Source organism: Homo sapiens, chromosome 7 (assembly GCF_000001405.40).
Source record: "Homo sapiens chromosome 7, GRCh38.p14 Primary Assembly".
Taxonomy (NCBI): Eukaryota; Metazoa; Chordata; class Mammalia; order Primates; family Hominidae; genus Homo; species Homo sapiens.
The window spans coordinates 37,392,385-37,412,927 of NC_000007.14; the positions used below are offsets into that span (position 1 = coordinate 37,392,385).

The window sequence follows — 20,543 nt, forward strand, 5'->3', positions numbered from 1 at the left end:
CCAGATCTGCAAAGCCATTCGAGAGTCCATGGGGCTTTGCAGTTGGCAGAACTTGGTGACAACCTAGCTGAGGCCATTCGCATATCTAAAGCATGAGCACGTCAGTCAGAAGCAGAGGTGGCCAACCATGAAATCTGAGCAAATTGGCGCTGCTAGGCTACCCCAGCTCTATACAAGGGAGGGCAGCCCCACTCTAGCCTCTCTCTTCCACATCTGCTGCCAGGTGTGAGGCCTCCCTATAGAATGGAGAGATGGGGCTGTCCTGACTCTGGAGGCCTCTGGACTTTCTGATCACACTGGCTAGCTCTTCTCACTGTGATTCTATGTTTACCAAATGCTCTCCTGATTACAACTCCTTCCCTTGACGTCTGCCTACAGGGAGGAAATCTGCTAGTCTGAGTACCAGTGGTCTTGATGATATTTCCTACAGTAAATCATCAAATTGGCCTCTGGCTCCCCAGTCACTAAAAACCTGCTAATTGCATCTGCCCTGGGAGGTAACTGTGCTCCCCTGGAGCCTGCTGTCTTCTGAGCCTGTTTGCACTTAAGGCCACCTCCTGAGGGTTGCTGAGAAAGGATGCAGGTTTTCTCTTGGTTGTGCCCCTTGGCTTCACCACCTCCCCACCCCCAACTCATTCCAAGGTCTACCAAGACCACTTCTGCACACATTTCCATCAGGACATAATACAAAACATCTCTCCTGGGCAACTTGTCCATGAGGAAAAGTCTAAGCTTGTTCATTAATTTTTATTCTTTCTTAAAAATTTTTATTTTGAAGCAATCTCCAATTCACAAGAAATTGCAGATATAATATAAATAAATTTCATTCTTCCTGAACAACTTGAGAGTAACTTGCCAACCCAGTGGCTCACCACCCACTAATACCTTAGTGAAGATTGCCAACAAACAATGGCATTCTCCTATATAACCACCACACAAGCATTCAAATCAGAAAATTAACATTTAATACACATTCTATTTGCCCTTGTGACCTCGTTCAAATTTCACCAAATGTCCCGATAATGTACTTTATAGTAAATTATTTCACCAAATGTCCCAATAATAGTACTTTATAGTACATTATTTAAAAAAAATCCAATTCAGAATCACACATTGCTTTAAGCTGTTGTGTCTCTTCAGTCTCTTCATTCTAAAGTGCTTCCCTCAGTTTTCCTCTGCCCTTGACCCTTTTGAAGACTATAGACTGGTTATTTTGTTCCTCAATTTGGGTTTGTCTGGTGCTGCTGCTACTGATTAGATTCAGGTTATGCATTTTTGGTGGAAATATCACAGAAAAGTGAAGCTGCAGCCTTTCCCTTGCCTGCTATCAAGCGGTGCCTGGTTTTGGTTTATCCAAAAACCAAAATCACTGTTCATTTGTTCCTCAGCTTGCTTTTTTATGCTCAGATCCCCACAAGCCCATAAAGATTGGCCTACCTACTCCAAGGAGAGGCTGAACTAGAAGGGCCTTGGGCATATCTTGATCTGTATCTTCTCTGCCTTGTATGGTATAAGTGCTCCCTGCTCTGCCCCCTAGATGGGATAAATAGGTGGAAAGGAGAGATGATATGGTTTGTGGACAAATAGCAGAATACTTTAAGTCCTACTCACACAATTTTTCCATAGCTAAGTAGAGGTAAGCTGCCTTAACTTTTTGATGCAAGAAATAACCCCCTTTTTACTCATTCATTCATTCATTCATGCCACTTATATTTATGGGGAGCCTCTCCCTGTTAGGCCCAGGGACACTAATATAATGTTGGACAATACCCTGCCCCAAAGGAGAGAATGGTCTCTCACAGAATACTCTTACTAGAAAGCTACAGGACAGCAGTGAGAAGGAGATGCTTGACCAGGTGGAGGGGGAAGCAGTCCAGCACCAAGGAGCAGCTCAACATAGTCTGGCATGTTCAGAAACCTGAAAGAAGCTGTAAATAAGACCTCAGTCAGACTGTGAGCTAAGTTGAGTGACAGGTGGGAGGAGACTAGAGAACGAGGAGACAGGAGCTGGATCAGACAGGCCTCAGACGGTCAGCAAGAGCCTACACCTGGGCTGATAAGAAACAGGAATCTCTGAAGGGTTGGAAGCCAAGTGCCAAGATCATGAAGACATTCTTACAACAACCTAAGGAACCCATCTGCAGAAGGAGAATAATTGGGGAACAGAAGGGAAGCAAGGGGCATAAGCATATACATGAGGAGACAATGGAAGTGTCTTCCAGAGCAGAGAGGCTGATGAGGGTTCATCTAGGGCAGGAACAGTGTGGAGGAAACAGAGACCAGATTCCACAGAAACACCAGATCTGCAGAATTTTGCATCAATGTGAGAAGTGAAGGGCTGAGAGTTATCAGGAGGGCCTGGGGGGCTTCTGGGTTAAGTGCATGGCAGTGGGGGTGGCTTTGATCAGGATGTAGATGAGAAGAGCAGGTGTTGGTAACTCAGCACCTCCAGACACGAGAACAATTTCCCAATATCTTAAACTTGAGACCCCAGCAAATTTTCATTTATCCTGATTACCGGAATGTTTCAAGGTCAAAGTTTGCAGTCATGGATGAATATCATGGAAGGCTGAGTATTTTAATTACATTTTAGTTCCCAGTGTTACCTCCTGCAGTAATTATCATAAGCATAGCTGGGAGTAGTTTTGCAGTACTAGAAAGAGAGAGAGAGAGCTGTGTTTTAAGAGTTGCTCATCCCAGGCTGGGTGCGGTGGCTCATGCCTGTAATCCCAGCACTATGGGAGGCCGAGGCAGGCAGATCACCTGAGGTCGGGAGTTTGAGACCAGCCTGACCAACATGGAGAAACCCCGTCTCTACTAAAATAATACAAAATTAGCTGGGCGTAGTAGTGCATGCCTGTAATCCCGGCTACTCAGGAGGGTGAGGCAGGAGAATTGCTTGAACCCGGGAGGCGGAGGTTGCAATGAGCCGAGAACACACCATTGCACTACAGCCTGGGCAACAAGAGTGAAACTCCATCTCAAAAAAAAAAAAAAAAAAAAAAGAGTTGTTCATCCTGCCTCTCTCAATGCCACCTACCATGTATGTATGCTTCCCTAATCATTTCCAGTAATTCTAGAATTGGGGCAGCCCATCATTGACTTAATTTCATGGGACACACTTGATATATTTACTTTTAAGGAAAGTAAGTTATAACCAATTTTGTTTTCAGAACTTGATGAGATCCTTGAGAAAAAGTGAAAACACCCTGCAGTAATAAAAAGCTGAACTTAGGAACTGTACATTTACATGATGGAAGATGAAAACCCAGGGTTTGGTTAGAGTCTAGAAGCAATTATGGCTCTTCTTCTCTCTCAACATCTTGTTTGTTTTGCTTTGTTAATGTAAAGCAAGCACCTCTGTTACTTCTTATTTTAAACCACTTCTCTATATACTCACTGTAAGCAAACATTCAGGGCTGAGGTAGGAGATAGGGACTTTCCAAGTAAAACTGTGTAGTGCTACAAGGAATAAAAACAAGTGCACAGACATTTTGTACACTTTATTTTTGATTAACAGTGAGAAAAAATGCAATAGTGTCATAGTTTTTTGTAGGCAGTCTCAGCTTTTTCGCCTTTACTTATTTCTTCCTTTTATTAATCTACATTCTTTTGTGCACCTTATTGAGTCATCCTCAGCTGCACTTCATCATTGCACTCCTTGGTGAGAATAATGTGGGTTTTCATGGTAACATCACAAAGTGTAATCAACAGTGGACCTTGATTCAGATAAACCTTTGCTCTCTTGGTGGTTCTAAATTACTAGCCATCCATCTTGTATCAGGCCACTTGAACACCTTTGAGCCTCCTTTCTTCCTAAGCACAGTAGACATAATGATAAGCTCACCTAAGAGGATTTATATGAAGATTAAATTGCATAAAGCAGCCTGGCACAGTGGCTGACACCTGTAATCCCACTACTCTGGGAGGCCAAGATGGGAGGATTGCTTGAGTCCAGGAGTTCAAGACCCCTGGGCAACATAGCGAGACTCCGTCTCTACAAAACAAAACAAAAAAGGCAAAAAAAATGTATAATGCATGTCAGAGCCATTAATATAGTCCCTGAAAGAAAAGAATGATAAAATAAGATTGCTGAAGTAGATAAAAAACCTAGGTAATGCTTTATAGGGCATTAAAATGGCAATTTGGGGGCTATCTTTTCTAATGGACAAGAATCATTCACACTGCTATCACACAGGAATCCTTTGCATCACTGTCCATTTTCTATAGGTATTCATTTACCCTTATAGATTGTAAAATATCCCAACCAACAGCAAACAGTAAATTAAAGAATAGCAGAGAAAGGCACCTACCCCTAGAGAATTGGATAATCTTGAGTGGGGACAATAATTCACTATGACATTGAAGGGACATGCAGTTATACTTTTGCCTATTTGCCTATTTCCAAGTGTTAGATGCATATATTTTTCCTTTACACTGCATCACAGGAGTTCAATAAGTGTTAGCCAGAAATTAGTGATTCTGAAATTACTATACATGAAATTCCATAGGACATTGGCAAAGGAGTAATAAGAGGACAATTGGTAGCATCAAGTGCTTGCACTAAGAAAAAGAACATTAAATATGACTATATTATGTTATAAAGGACTACCTGTCTACCTGATAGCTGAACCCAAAGAGAGACTGAGGTAGACTGAAGATAGGAATTTTTCTCAGAAAGAAATAAACTGGCTGGAATATAGACAGCCACAGTCGTAAACTGTAATGAACAGGTTAGAATGTCTGCAAAATATATAGTCAACTGAACCTTATTTAATTTACTTATATATCAAAGCAAGGAACAACATAAGACCCACAAAAAACTTAAAAATACTTTTTTCATGACCTCTCAAATTAGACTTTGTTAATTTTATTTGTCATTTCCCTTTCTTCTCTTTTGAATAACAACACTTAAAATATCTCATGCTCAAAAGAGAAATATTTAGTTCTCAAAGGTTTGACAGAAAATTGATAGAAGGCTCAAGCCCATCTTTGGACCAACTCTATGAGGAATACATAGGGTAAAGGTATGGGTCATAAAAGGCATCTGTAAGACAGCCCCATTGGGCAGCATCCATGCACAAAAGGCGTTATGGACAGCATGCCTGTGAAGATGCAGCTGGACCCCTCAGATCTATTTGTCTGTGATTTCCCTTTGGGCAGCATCACCTCTGTGCACCTCAGTTTCCTCATCAAGATGGACAATACGATTCCTCAAAGATCTAGAACCAGAAATACCATTTGACCCAGCAACCCCATTACTGGGTATATACCCAAAGGAATATAAATCATTCTATTACAAAAATACATGCATGCATATGTTCACTGCAGCACTCTTCACAATAGCAAAGACATGGAACCAACCCAAATGCCCATCAACGATCGACTGGATAAAGAAAATGTAGTACATATACACCATGGAATACTATGCAGCCGTAAGAAGGAATGAGATTATGTCCTTTGCAGGAACATGGATGGAGCTGGAAGCCATTATCCTCAGCAAACTAACACAGGAACAGAAAACCAAATACTGCATATTCTCACTTATAAGTGGGAGCTGAACAATGAGAACACATGGACACAGGGAGAAGAAAAACACACACAACAACATACCTGTCAGCAGGTGGGATATGGGGAAGGAGAGCATTAGGAAAAATAGCTACTGCATGCTGGGCTCAATACCTAGGTGATGGGTTGATAGGTGCAGCAAACCACCATGGCACACGTTTACCTATATAACAAACGTGCACACCTGCACATGTATCCCAGAATTTAACATTTAAATTTAAATTTTAAAAAGGATGGCCAATAATACACATTTCATTATGACTGTTGTGAGAATTAAAAGAGCTCACAGAGCTCTAGCACAGAGCCTCCCTGACACATAACATGCTAGTAAAGATGTACTAACTTTTATTTTCCCTTCCTATCTTCAAAAACATCAAAGTTTCCTTCAAACAAAAACCCAATCTATATATTCATGGAAATGTAAACATTCAATTAATCACTGCATTGTCTTTCTTTTGAAGCCCTCTTCACTGCTCCATTCAAGAAAAAAGACAAGGCAACTCAGGGAGGAACCAGAAAGCGATGGATTCACTAACCTTGTTTATCTTTCTGCTTTGTTTCCAGGATTGTATTTACTTCCTGATGTTAGATTCCTGGACACTTGAAACAAAAGTCAACCTTTCTATGCAAGGAAACTAACGGGCTGAAGTTTCCTTCCCTAGGGAAATCACAAGAAAGAATGCGGGATGGGAGGACACCCCCTGCTCACGTGTACTGCTGCTATCGTCTCATCCTAAGTTTTCTGCTGCACCAACACCCATTAATTCCTCTCGGAAAATGGAGAGAAGGATAACTTCAGCTGGGGCAGCACTTTGACCCTTCTGCTAGACTCAGTCCCCTGCTGGACTCATGAGCCAGGTCTGCATCTACAATGTGGGGCCCTCCTTCGCCCCCAAGAAGCACAGGAAGGCTTCTTTCAAGGCACCCTGTTCCTGCAGGCCAAACCCAGCTCCATGAGCATTATTACAGCTTAGTGCGGCATGGAGCAGTATCCCATATGTACTTTTATGTACCTGTACCAGCCCAACGAGCCAATGCCTTCCTGGCACCTGTCACTGAGCCCTCTGGTCAGATTCCACATCCTGCCTCTTGGGTGAACGGCGATCCTCACTCTCCTGCTGAGTCTCTGCCTTCCCATCCAGGAGCCACCTGGATCCAGAGGTACAGGGGTTCCAGGTTCTGGCTCCTCCTTGATCTGCCCCCTGCTGTGATGTCATAGCCTGCCCAGGCTCTGCCAGGAAATGCCCATGAGGGCTGGGACCACGTCCTTCATTCAACAAACTCGTGCAGAAGGGAGACAGAGATGGGAGCAAATCTCTCCCGGGACTGGAGTGGAGGCAGTGGGTTCCTGGGCAATTTTGTTGCAGATCAATTTAAGTTTTAGGTTTTGTGTAAGGATTTTCTGCCAGTGAGTTCTTGCTGAAGGGACCACCAATTTTGCATTCTACCAGGGCCAGGGCATAAACCCACTCTCAGGAAGCCCTGGGCATAGCCACCTTGCACCAGGCACATGTTATTCCTCTACCTCAGCCCAACACGAGCCCAGCACACGCAGGGTGGGGAAGCCAAGCACTTGCCCACTAGCTGCTGTCAAGTACATGGAGAAGGAGGCAAATCAGAACCTTTCATCTTATTCTTCGGGTAGAACATTCAACATGCAACATGCTTTTGGATAATGCATGACATCGGCCTCCAGTATTCAGAATACGCTGAGTGACTCTGTTTTGGTAAAGAGGCCAGAAGTTCCACCACCTAAAGTCATCTGCAGCATCATTACTGCTATATCTTTAGGGGAGATTACATGATCTTCAAGGGACCATTTCCTGTATAATTTCAATCCTCAATTTCCCGTGACTTGAAGTGGGAGTAATACTATAGCTCCCGCTCCACACACGGCATAAACCTCCTTCTCCCAGGATTGTTGTGAGGATTAAACAACTTGAAATGTGCAAATTATCTGGCACAAAAATGCATTCCAAAATTTACTAGTTCCTTTCCCCCTGCATTTTTGTGAAGAATGCCAGTTAATTTTAGTGAGGCAGAGCTACTGATTTAGTGACAAATGTACAAGCTTCTGGGAGACTTTAGCTCCAGCTCTGACACTTCCTAGCTATTTAATATGGTACAAGTTTGATGTGTCACTGTCTTCACAGCAAAATGGGATAACACTTATTTTGGAGGGAGTTATACATTGTAAATGAGATGACACATGTAAATATAGAACATCAGATAGCATATGCTCAGTTAGTACAGAGGCCCTTTGTCTCGCACACAGCAGGGCTCATTTATTTAAATACTGCACCAACAAGCCTGGAAAGCCAGTGTGCCTTCCAGGATCAGGCAGGCAGAATCCGCATCGGTACACTGTCCATAGATCACAATGTGCTGTGTGGACCATGAAGCCACTGGAGTTATTTCAAAATTTAAAAAAAAAGTCAGCTTCACCCAACAGCAAATTCAGCACAGACCTAGTTTCTGTTTTTGTTTTCATGTATTTTTCTATTCCATAAAATTACTTCAGGGCATATATGCAAATTACAAAGCATTTTAACTAAGATATACTTTAAAAGCCCAGAACATTTTCCAACCCAAATTAATACTATATCGTATATTAAATGCCCATCTGAAAAGTCCACAAATTTCACATAAACATGTGAGAGCTTTAGGAAACGGTGGAAGAGAATACAGATCACCCCTTTCAGTTACTCCAGAATATTTGATAAATTCCATTTAGAGATACCAGGAAAGATCAAAACTTCTACTTTTTAGGAATAACACTTAGACTGATGGCCATCTTCTTATCTCCCCGCTCCAGACCATCAACTTGACAAGGAAGAGCTAGGATTTAAACTGCTTTTTAAATGGCAAAGAAATTCCTTTTTCTTTAGGACAGAAGAAAAAACAATTTTCTTCCAACCTGTGCACAATATGGGTATTTGGTACAGTTTTCAAGGCAAAAAATCCTAGGGATTTTGCAAAGGACTTAGGACAAGACTAATAGCCTTGTCTCATCTTGGTCCAAAAGTTTGACTCTTAGAATTGAAAGAGACATCCGCCTGACTGAATGCTTTCACCCTTAATTTTATCTGCAGAAGTTTAATTCAAAGGAAAACCCCTAGGAACCCTACACTGGGAGGAAGCTTAAGTAAGTGAAGGTAAGCTTGTCCAGGAAGAAGTGGGAAGCCAGAGCCCTGCCCTCTCAAATCCCATTCACTCTCCCTGCAGAGATGCCTACACTCATGTCAGAAATATGGGGCTCCATAAAACACAGTTTGAAAGTGATGGAATAATTCAGCCCTCATGCACAGATAAAATAAGGACATTGAAGGGATGGGTTCAGGACCTACCACCCCAAAACATGGCACCTTGGCATTTGAGAAAACAGCAGAAGCAGGAAGGTCACTCTTACCTTCCCCTCACCCCTTTTCTCCTAAAGCAGATCATAAAATCGAGGAAGGATTTTCTGACTTTTCTTTGAAGCACTTTGTAAGAGCCTCAGGAGACAGTGTATTAGTCTGTTCTCACACTGCTATAACGACATACCCAAGACTGGGTAATTTATAAAGGAAACAAGTTTAATTGACTTACAGTTCAGCATGGCTAAGGAGGCCTCAGGAAACTTATAATCATGGCAGAAGGGGAAGCAAACACATCCTTCTTCACAAGGCGGCATGAAGGAGAAGAATTCAGGCAAAAGCAGGGGAGAATCCCTTAAAAAACCATCAGATCTTGTGAGAATACACTCACTATCACGAGAACAGCATGAGGGTAACTGCCACCATGATTCAATTACCTCCTAGTAGGTCCCTCGCATGACATGTGGGGATTATAGGAACTACAATTCAAGATGAGATTTGGGTGGGCACACAGTCAAGCCATATGAGAGAGACTCCTTCCCTATACCCAAAGGAAAGGAGTTGAAGACATAGAAGTGAGAAGAAGAACCTGATCAAACAGGCCTTGCTAAATTTCTCACAGTTCATTACAATTAGATCACAGATAGCTCCTTTGTCCAATCATACATCTCTAAGACTGTCTACTCTTCACCAAACCTAAGCATAAAAATACACAGGTTTACCCGCTTCTTCAGGTCTTTCGTTCCCTATGAAGACTCCTGTGGCACGTAAAACTTACATCAAATACATGTGTATCCTTTTCTATTGTCAATCTGTCTTTTGTTATAGGGGCCTCAGTCATGAACCTGTTGATGAGTGGGAAGAAGCTATTTCCCCTCCCCTACAGCAACAAAAAGTTACAAGTGGCTCCAGCAATATTCTGCTTGATAAATGGATGAGGCCAGGTTGTGAGTGAGAATATCGTTACAGGAAGAAACCATGAGCAGAAATTAGAGAGACTCTAAATTACTGTTTCCTGGCCTCTATGCAGCTAGAGTGACGACAGAACCCATTTGGGGTCAGTAAAACATCAGAGAAAATCTGCTGGGTTTTTCGTGGGGTAAAGGGGTGTTCACTTTTCTGAAAAAAGGAACAAAATGGAAGGATAGCTCTTGGTGTTTCCCCTTCCTCTTTCTTCCTAAGTGTTTGGGAACTTGATGCCTGGTGCTACAGCCGCCATCTTAAGACCATGAAGTATGAGCAGAAGACAGAAAGCCAACATACTTATGGAAGAGTAGAGGGAGAGAGAGTCTGGATCCTTGAGGACAGTCTTGAGCTATTTAATGAATCTGAAGCCATCTGATCCCTGACTTCTGGTTAAGTAAACAATTAATATCCTTATACTAAAGGACACTGTTAGTCTGTATCTCACCCAGTAGAACACACTTCTCTGGATATTTCAGAATCAGGGTATTACACCTTAAAAGTAGTACCTGCATTTTTCCACATATTATCTTTAATTTCTGTTCCCAAACTACAGTCACATGGAAAATAAAAAAGCAAGGGGGAATGATGTAACCACCTTTGAAGATAGTTTGGTACCTTCTTACAGAGTTAAACGTAATCTTGTCATACAATCTGGCAATAATGCTTCTAGGTATTTACCCAAACAAGTTGAAAATGTATGTCCATACAAAAACCTGCACTCAAATGTTTAGAGCATTCTTCTTCCTATTTACCAAAACCTGCAAGCAACCGTGATGTCCTTCCATAGACGAATGAATAAACTGTAGTATAGATACACAATAGAATATTACTCAGCAATTTTTAAAATGAGCTATTAGGCCACAAAAAGACATGGATAAGTTTTAAATGCACATTTCTAAGTGAAGGAAGCCAGTCTGAAAAGCCTAAATACCTGTATGATTCCAATTATATAACATTCTAGAAAAGGCAAAACTATAAAGACAGTCAACAGTTCAGTGGTTTGCCTGGCACAGTGGCTCACACCTGTAATCCCAACACTTTGAGAGGGTGAGGTAGGAGGATCACTGGAAGCCAAGGTTTGAGACCAGCCTGGGCAACACAGTGAAATCCCCCCAACTCTGAAAAAAAATCACTGGTTTCCAGGGGTTTGGAGGCCAGGAGGACGGTAGGGGGGTGCATAGGTGAAGCATCGTGGATTTTTAAGGCAGTGAAATTATTCTGTATGATATTGTAACAGTAGCTACATGACACGGTGCAACTGTCTTTCTCATTTATTTATTTATCTTTAAGACAGGGGTCTCACTCTGTCACCCAGGCTGGAGTGCAGTGACATGATCACAGCTCACTGCAGCCTTGACCTCCTGGCCTCAAGCAATCCTCACACCTCAACCTCCAGAGTAGCTCGGACTACAGGCACACATCACCACACCCAACTATTTTTTTTATTCTTTGTAGAGATGGGGGTCTCACTATGTTTCCCAGGCTGGTCTCGAACTCCGGGCCTCAAGTGATCCTCTCACCTCAGCCTCCCAAAGTGCTGGGATTACGGGCATGAGCCACCATGCCCAGCCCATTATGCAATTGTCAAAACCCATAGAACATACGACACAAAAAGTGAATCTTAATGAACTGTTGTTGTTCATTCATAATAATGGATACTAGTTTAATTATAACAAATGTACCACACTAATGCAAGATGCTGATAATAGGGAAAACTGTGTGGATAGCAGGCATATATTGGAACTCACTGTGCTATCTAGTCAATTTTTCAGTAAATCTAATACTTCTAAAAAATAAAATATATTAATGGGGAAAAAAAGCAAGAGAAAATGAGGGGTGGGAAACAGAATCCCTAAAATTGTAATCATTTTTTCTCTCTAATCAGTCCAGAAAGAAATTCATTTTAAGGTATGCATGGGAAGGTTTGGGCCAGCACTTTCCATCCTCACTGGTCCACTCCCTCTCCCATACCACCAAGACCCATCTCTGAATGTCTAGGTGGCTCCCCCTTCCACCTTCACTCCGTGTGGCAGGCCTCTCCCATGCACACTGCATGCTGTCTCATACAGGTGACTGTGCGCCATGATTTCTATGGGTATCTTATGCTCTTTCTCATTTGGTCCTATCATGGCCACTCCCCGCCATTGGCACAGCTTTCTGGTGCATCCCTAGGTCCCACGCTATTTTTAACCTTTGATATTGACATATCTGACAAACAATGTATCCTTTAGATGCTTCTCCATGTTAACGGAAGTAACAACCTGGTATATAATAAATTCCCTGGGCCCTTCAGGTTGTTCCAATAAAGGTTCTCCTATAACCAAGACACTGTTTAAAGAAACACACCCCATCTGCGAGGCCCAGATGCCAATCAGTGTTGAGATGTTCCTCCTCTTTGTGGCAATGTAGCAAGGTTTGCAAACTTAGCATAAAAAGGAGATACTACACCCCAGTACCAAAAGTTTCCTGGATCTTTTTTTCCATAGTTTTCTTTGGGGCTTGGAAGGCTGGCTTAAATTTTTAGTTCTAAATAGATTGTGGTCGCAACTGGGTAATCGTTACTTGATGAAAAACAAAATATCCAGTTTTTAAAAAACATTCAGCTATTGCTTGGCTCACATCCTTTCCCCTCTTTGTTCCCCCCATTTTTAATTTTTTTCTGAATAAAATGCAAACAGCTCATGATCAGGAGTCCTCATTGTAACTATGGGCTCTGAAATTTGCCAGAATAAGGCGTTTGCTGAGCAATCATTTCCAGGAGAGAAGTCACTGTGGCCAGACCAATGAAGCAGTGGTAATGTGGGCCACCGGCACTGGGGGACTGAAATGGTCGTGTGAGAAAGCATAACTTTGAGTGACAATGGGATTTTATCTGAATGAATCTTTCCCAAGAATAAGGCATGGATGCTTTTTATACTTCAAGACCAAAACAACAACAATGGGGAAAAAAAACCCTAAGAATTCCTCCAAAAAGGTCAGGCTTTATTGCAGGTCCCAGCCCTTGCACATATTGTTCCCTCCTCCTGGAATGCCCAATGTTTCCGACCCCCTCCCCACGCCCCAGACTCCACCTTGTCTCACCTCTGCCCCCATGTCTGTCTGTCACACCCAGAGCTTGCTTATCTGCAGTTATTCTTCCAAATCACGGAGAAACACAAAATCCAGATAGGTCTTTTAAGTACAGCAAACACACTTCCGTGTGCTTTAACTGACACAAATATGTGTGATGAAATGAAATGCACAGAATCGCAAATGTTATCCTTATAGGCAATGTGTTCCTTCATTTCACATTTTAGGCAATCACAAAGCAATTAAACTTCTGTGTGCACGGGACACTGAAGTCATGTGTGGCATGCTTCCTGGGACTCAAGGCGTCGGGCTTGTTAATGGGAAGGAGGGAGTCAGAAAGATAGGCTTATTCATTCCCTGGCAGTTAAAATACAGACTGGCTGAATCAGCCCAGCCAATCCTCCTCCGATACTCCAAAGGCTTTCCAGGGGAAACCAGAGTGTCTTGAACTTGCTAGCCTCAGAGGACAGTGCATATGCTGTCCCGCCCCAGAGGTCAACTCCGCTGGTCCCAACAGCTAGCCTCTGGAAAGTTGGCCTCAAGAGAGCTGACCACGAGAGCATGGGTCAGAATTCACTGGAGAACCCATCCTAATATGGAAAATGTCAACACTTGCTTCCCTTATCAGTAATTCCCAGTCCACCGCAGCTACAGGCAGAATCAGAAGTCAAGCTCAAGCTGCAGAGCTGAGATACCACTGGGATCTAGGGGTATTTTCAAGCCGTTAAGCAGACCTCATCTCCCACTCCTTGCATCTTAGGGTTCATTCCATCATTCATGGGAATGCTTGAGTACTCACGCTGGTTCAGGCCCTGTGTATAATTAGTTTGGGAAACAGAAGCTTCTTGTTAGTGAAAATAAAGATGGTACAAGTGAAAAATCTGCAGTTGGTGCAAGGGAGAAATCTGCAATATTACTCTTTTGTTTTTTTTTTTTCTCTCTTTGTATATATTCCACCCTCATGGCAAATATGAAAGATTTCCATTGGATGAGACACTGAACTCAGTAGCCACAACAATGAGGGGCATAATGCAATGAAACTAAAAACATATTCTTAGGAAAGAAAAATGAAAGTGAGGAAGTAAGAAAATTTTTTTTTTTTATGAGACAGAGTCTTGCTCTGTCACCCAGGCTAGAGTGCAGTGGCGCGATCTCGGCTCACTGCAAGCTCCGCCTCCCGGGTTCACACCATTGTCCTGTCTCAGCCTCCCAAGCAGCTGGGACTACAGGCAGCTACCATCACGCCCGGATAATTTTTTTGTATTTTTTTTTTTAGTAGAGACGGGGGAGGGGTTTCACCGTGTTAGGCAGGATGGTCTCGAACTCCTGACCTTGTGATCTGCCCGCCTCGGCCTCCCAAAGTGCTGGGATTACAGGCGGGAGCCATCGCACCAGGCCAAGAAAATATTCTTAGTCTTGTTTTTTGCATCTTTAAAATATAGCATTAGCTAGAGGATCTCAAAGGTCCTTCCAAGATTAAAATGGTATGACTCACTAATAATCAGGAAATATAAATTAATATAACAGTAAGATAGATACCCACATTCACTCTTCAGATAGGCAAAGATGAAAGAATTCATCAGTATTAACTGTCAGTAAGAATTTGTAGTAAACAGAATCACATACACTGCTGAATTGGAGGGTAAATTAATATAGCCTGTGTGGAGAACACTTTGGTAATTTATAATAGCGTTGAAAAAACTTACAGCTATACAAAATCTGCACGCATGTTTACAGTAGCCTAACATATACTTGACAAAACTCAGAAGCAACTAAGATGTCCTTCAACAGGTGAGTGAATAAACAATGGTACATCCACACAATGACACAGTATTGGGAGATAAAAAGAAATGAACTATCATGCCATGAAAGAACATGGATGAGGGTCTGGCGCGGTGGCTCACGTCTGTAATCCTAGCACTTTGGGAGGCCGAGGTGGGCAGATCACGAGGTCAGGAGTTCAAGACCAGCCCGTCCAACATGCTGAAACCCCGTCTCTACTAAAAATACAAAAATTAGCCAGGCGTGATGGTGGGTGCCTGTAATCCCAGCTACACAGGAGGCTGAGGCAGGAGAATCACTTGAAACCAGAAGGCGGAGGTTGCAGTGAGCTGAGACTGCACCACTGCATTCCAGCCTGGGCGAAAGAGTGAAACTCCATCTCAAAAAAAAAAAAAAAAGAACATGGATGAATCTTAAGTGCTATTTCTAAGTGAAGGAAGCCAGCCTAAAAAGGCCACAGACTGATTCCAACTATATGTCATTCTGGAAAAGGCAAAACTATAGAGACAATAAAAACATCGGTAGTTGCCAGCAATATGCAGTGAGAGAGGGATGCATTTGTGGACTGCAGGGGATTTTTAGGACAGTAAAATTCTTTTGTATGACAGAATAATGGTGGATAAACGGCATTATGCATTCGTTCAATCTCATAGAACTGTAAAAAACAAAAAGTAAACCCTAAGGCAAACTATGAACTTCAATGAATAATAATGTATCAATATTGGCTCATTGCTTGTAACAAATGTTAATAAGAGGGAAGCCCTGCTGGGGAAAGAGAGGATATGGAAACTGTACTTTGTGCCCAATTTTTCTGTAAACCTAAAATTTCTCTTAGAAAAAAATTGATTAATTTTTAAAATATTTATTAATTTTAAAAATAGTAACTTCAAAAAATTGTGTCAAGTCTGTAAGTGAATTTTACATTGGTAAAGAACATTGAATACCACAATAAACATATACAGTAGCATTGGATTTTATATCCACACTATATTTGTAACCTTGTGTTCCCCATACTAAAGAAATAGCTATCATGCAGCAAGGGTTCAATAAAATAATGCTTGTGAAACTGCTCTGAAAGCAATAGAAAGCCTGGCAGAGGTTTAATTCTAATCACAACCGGTTACACAATAGATATACATAATGAAGTTGAAACCCCCAGGAAGAATCTGGGCAGTCTGGCTACCTGATTGTGCATCACTGTCTAAGACACATTGGAAAAAAGATGACAAAGAACTCAGATAAGCCCCTACGCTCTGTCTTTCCAATGCATTTCAACGAGATTCTGCTGTTGGTAGGAAGTGGAAAAAATAACCGCAGAGCAACATTGGCACTACTGTGTACACTGCAGCGTTAGTCACAATAGCCAGGAGGGAGAAGCAGTCTAAATATTCATTAATAGATGAAGGGATAAAGAAACGGTAGGAATATACATGCAATGGAATATTATTCAGCCTAAAGCAGAAGGAGATCTTGTCATGTGCTACAACTCAGATAAACTTTGAGGACATGATGCTAAGTGAGGTAAGCCGGCCACAAAAAGACCCATGCTGCATGGTTATACTTCTAGGGATTATTTAAAGTAGTCAACCTCTTAGAAACATAAAATACAGTGGTAGTTGCCAGGGGCTGGGGAGAAGGGAAAGGGGAAGTCGTTTTTCAGTGGGTATAGATTTCCAGTCACTCACAATGAAAAAGCTCTAGAGATCTGCTGCGTAAGAATGTGCATATAGTTTATGCTATTGTGCTGTATACTTCAAATGGTGAAGTTGTAAATTTTGTGTTGCTTTTTACCACATGCAAAAAAATTGTTTTAATAAAATAACAGCCCTGAGCATGACTTTCACAGAATAATCTGGAAGTTTAAACATTGTTTACACATCGGGCCATGGCACCGAAAGCCTAAGTGAAACTCTGAAACAACGGAAAGCACAGAGTTCAGAACAAACTCAGCACAATATCAGCAGAAAGGTGATCCGGAAGCTGACACACAGCAGAGTTTTGCAAGTGAAAAAAAAAAAAAAGTGAACAAAATTCCTAAAACCTACTGGATGCCAAAAGTTCGTGGGTAGCTTTTTAGGTTCTGACCTTACTTTGAACTAATGCTGACATCTATTAAATAACTTCCCTTAACTAGTGATAATAATGAAGAGAGCTATCATTAACGGGTCACTAGTTTTATGCTGATTTATATGTATCATTTCATCGACTCCTCTTAGCAACTTTATATGGCAAGTGTCCTGGCTGTGTACTGCTGTGTAACAAACTATCTCCAGACTTACTGGCTTCACACAACAACAATCACTTCATTTTTCTCATGAAACTACCATTTGGGCAGGGTTGGGTAAGTATGGTTTGTCTATGCTCCATGCACAGTCAGCCAGGGCAACTCAACTGGGGCTTGCTGGGGGATCCACTTGTAAGATGGTCACTCATATGGCTGGAAAGTTGAGGCTAATTGTTAGATGGGAACTCAGCCAGGCCCGTGGGCCAGAGGCCTCAATTCCTCCCACTTGGGACTCTCCACGGGCTGTTTGGGCTTCTTCACAGCATGGTGGCTGGGTTCCAAGAGCTACACTGCAGAGCAAGATGGAGGTGAATAACATTTTTATGATGTAGCCTTGCAAGCCATATAGTATCACTTCTGCTATGCTCTGTTGGTCAAAGCTGTCACAACATTCCACTCAAGATCAAATGGAAGGAACATAAACCCTATTGCTAGATGGCAGGAGTTTCACAGGGATATTGTAAGATCATGTATGATAAAAGATACTGGCATGACCATTTTGGACAATACAATCTACCACAGTAAATATTATCATTATAATCCCCATTTTGCAAGCAGGAAAACTGAATCTTGAAAAGGTAATTATCTCCCTCCTTCCCGCAAAGTCACATAGCTATTAAGCAACGAAGCCAGGATCCAAAACCAGATATATCTGACTCCCAAGTCAGAACCCTTAACTACTATGACTATTTTGCTTCCGACTTCCTTTACAATTCCTGCTGTAATTGCTCTAGCTCAGAGAGTCTCTAACTTCTTTGCATAGGCAGGATTATTTTATGTAATTGACATGAAAAAAAATGAACTCCCCAGTACTATTGCAGTTTGGTGACTGACACATAGAAAGCTCCCTAAAGTTTTGCTAAATTAGATGTGTCTTCTCTCCTCTACTAAAGTATAATCTCCTTGAAAGAAAAAAACAAGTTTAGTAAAACCTGGTATCCACATAAAATTTAATTCAGTTCCTTGATCACAGCAAGGGTTCAGTAAATGCTTATTTGAAATGTATCTACTTGTCTTCATGTCTTTCTCTCCAACCCTCCCCACAACCCCATACTGTGAGCCACTAAAAAGCAGGGACAGAGGGCCAGATGCCTCAGTTCCAGTAACCTTCTGCTCTAGCCCCTCCCACCCCTTAACACACACACAGCCCTACACAGTGGGTCTTCTACAAATGTTATAATGAACAAATGAATGAATAAATGACATACATGGATGAAAATGAAATGAACAGTAATCCAGATTTCTAATCACTTTCTCCATTCAAACAAGGGAAAACTAATACAATGAGAAAAACTAGGGCCCATCATAGAGCCTGCTGGCCTACCCCTAAAGGAAGGCAACCTGACACATTTTGGTAGAGAAACAAAAAACAGTGGGTTTCCTGTTGGAGAAAAAAACTGCAAAGGGAAGAAGACATGAGTGGAAAGAGTTTTTAGCTAACTAAAGAAAAGGATGCAATTCATGAGCTATATGCTGTGACACTTTTTGTCACCCTCCCTCTGTGGATCCTGGGGTCAGTGCAGAAGGCATCAGGATAGAGGAGGAAGAGAATTAATGTTTACTGCACACCAGGCACTCTGCTAAGTAAGAGTTTGGCTTTTACTCCCACTTACACATTTTCATAATAAAACCCGGAACAGCAAGAACAGGAAGTAGGAACAAGAAGTAGTATAACATTTTCCTGGTTCTCAGAAAACCATTTTAAGAAATAATTATGGAGATGTAGCAACTAATTCTACCTTACCAATATTCTAAATGGGAAGTCCCACAGATATTAATACTGGATTGTTAGTGGATAAATTCAAGGAGCAATATTATTCCCTGTCCACATCTTAGCAAACAAAGTTCCCTCTCTTTCATTTACCGCTAGCCGTTGGTTTCTTCTAGTTTTTCAACATCCTACAACACTTTATTTTAAAACGAAATCACTGTAACAAGCTATTATGCTCTTTCTTTTCCAGGAACAAGTGGGTACAATAAATTGTAGCAGTGATGAAAGTGGAAAGTGACAGTGGAGAAAAATTAATATCCTCGTGCTTTTCATCCTCAAAATTCTTTAAATAAAATTTAATTTTCTGGCTATTGCCCTTTAAGTGTGCTAAGTTAGAGAGAGAGAATGTATTCAGCTTTTCCAACTTCTCTATTGTATTAGAGGGTCCCTTTTCATACAGTCTACAGAAATGGCCATACAGTCCACAGAAATGGCATTTTTGTGTGTGTGCGGGGCCAAGGAAGAAGGGGGAGCCTCAGAAGTGTATTGTTATGTTGAGAAAACTAATATTCATATGACTAATGAGCATATTTTTTCCTGATCTGGTTCATAAACTTTTTCCGTTATTCTGGTAATTATCAAAGACACTTAATTCAGAAGCATCACATTCTCCACTTCTCAGAACTCTGCCTCCCACTCCAGCAGGAACGTCATGTCAGATCACATGGTCATGGAGGGCTTCAGCTTTGATACTGCTGAGAATGGTGGCTCATGTCTTTCACTGCTTTAAACACAGTGTTATGGTTCAGTACAAGTACATATTTAATTAATATGCTCCACAGAGGAGAAAATTCTGTTCAAATTAAAGTCCCTTCCTCACGCTCAACTACTTCCTACCTCTGCTCTCTCTCACACACACACAAAAACACACACACACAAAATGTTTTGGAAGAAATTATTCTAACCATCATTCAGTGCTACACATCATCATTCAAACTATGTGTTTATAATTCAGAAAATAATTCTTACAATTATATTTTGCAAAACAACATGAAATCCTTTTGTTCTTTCTTCAAAGGAACAACTGAACTCCAAAAGAAAAAAATCACAGGAAGGAATGGATGGGTCCATGAAATGGCTTCCAGAGAGTTCTATTCTCAGGAGCCAGGGCGTTTGTGGGGTCCTCCTGGACACTGAGGAAAGGCTGTGCCAGCCCCCTTCACCACCACCTCAGCCTGAGCCCCTGACTTCTACTTTATCTGTCTTCTATAGGAGGCTTCTGTGGTAAGATGTCTCTTGGATAAATTGCCAATTTCTACTTTAAATGACTAGTTTAACAGATGAAGACATCATATATACCATAGTTTACCAATCAAAAAACTACAGTGTGCCAACTACTGTAGTTAAACACTGTGCAGACACAACAACTAAAGAAAAACTAATGCAACCATCATTTTAGCTTGTCATTTTTTTTCAAGAATGTATTGGTTTTAAAACATGGGTGCATATCCTTGGATGCTCCTCCCCTTAAAAGGTGAACCCTCTTCCCCTAGACCCACCTTAGTGACTCCTCTCTAACATGCAGAGTGTGTGGGAAGCTATGCTATGTGATTTCAAAGGCTAGGTCAGAGAAAAAAGATGCCACATGATTGTCTCTCCCTGAAACTTTCACTCTGGGGGAGGCCAGACCCCATGTCATAAGGACACTCAAGCAGCCCTAAGAGACATCCACAGCCAGCAGCAGCTTGTCAGCCACAGGAGCACATCATCTTGGAACAAGTCCTCCAGCCCCAGTCCAGCCTTCAGA

At 41.7% G+C, this 20,543-nt stretch overlaps 1 protein-coding gene across 10 annotated transcripts in view, besides 1 other annotated feature; it reads right to left on the bottom strand.

The window, feature by feature from the left end:
* The window catches only part of ELMO1 (engulfment and cell motility 1), a 596,421-nt gene that overhangs the window by 539,479 nt on the left and 36,399 nt on the right, over nt 1–20,543 (bottom strand). The window contains exon 2 of one of the 10 annotated variants that reach the window (XM_005249919.4): nt 1,438–1,533. The exons of the other annotated variants lie outside the window; for them this stretch is intronic. The gene's annotated coding sequence lies outside the window, so the exon portion shown is untranslated. The remainder of the gene's footprint in view (nt 1–1,437; nt 1,534–20,543) is intronic. 10 annotated transcript variants of the gene reach the window in all.
* Nucleotides 125–234: an enhancer, noted in NCBI's record as "active region_25858". NCBI's record gives its function as "activates an Ori minimal core promoter by ATAC-STARR-seq in GM12878 lymphoblastoid cells {active_cell/tissue: GM12878}" and the evidence as "EXISTENCE:reporter gene assay evidence [ECO:0000049][PMID:35858748]".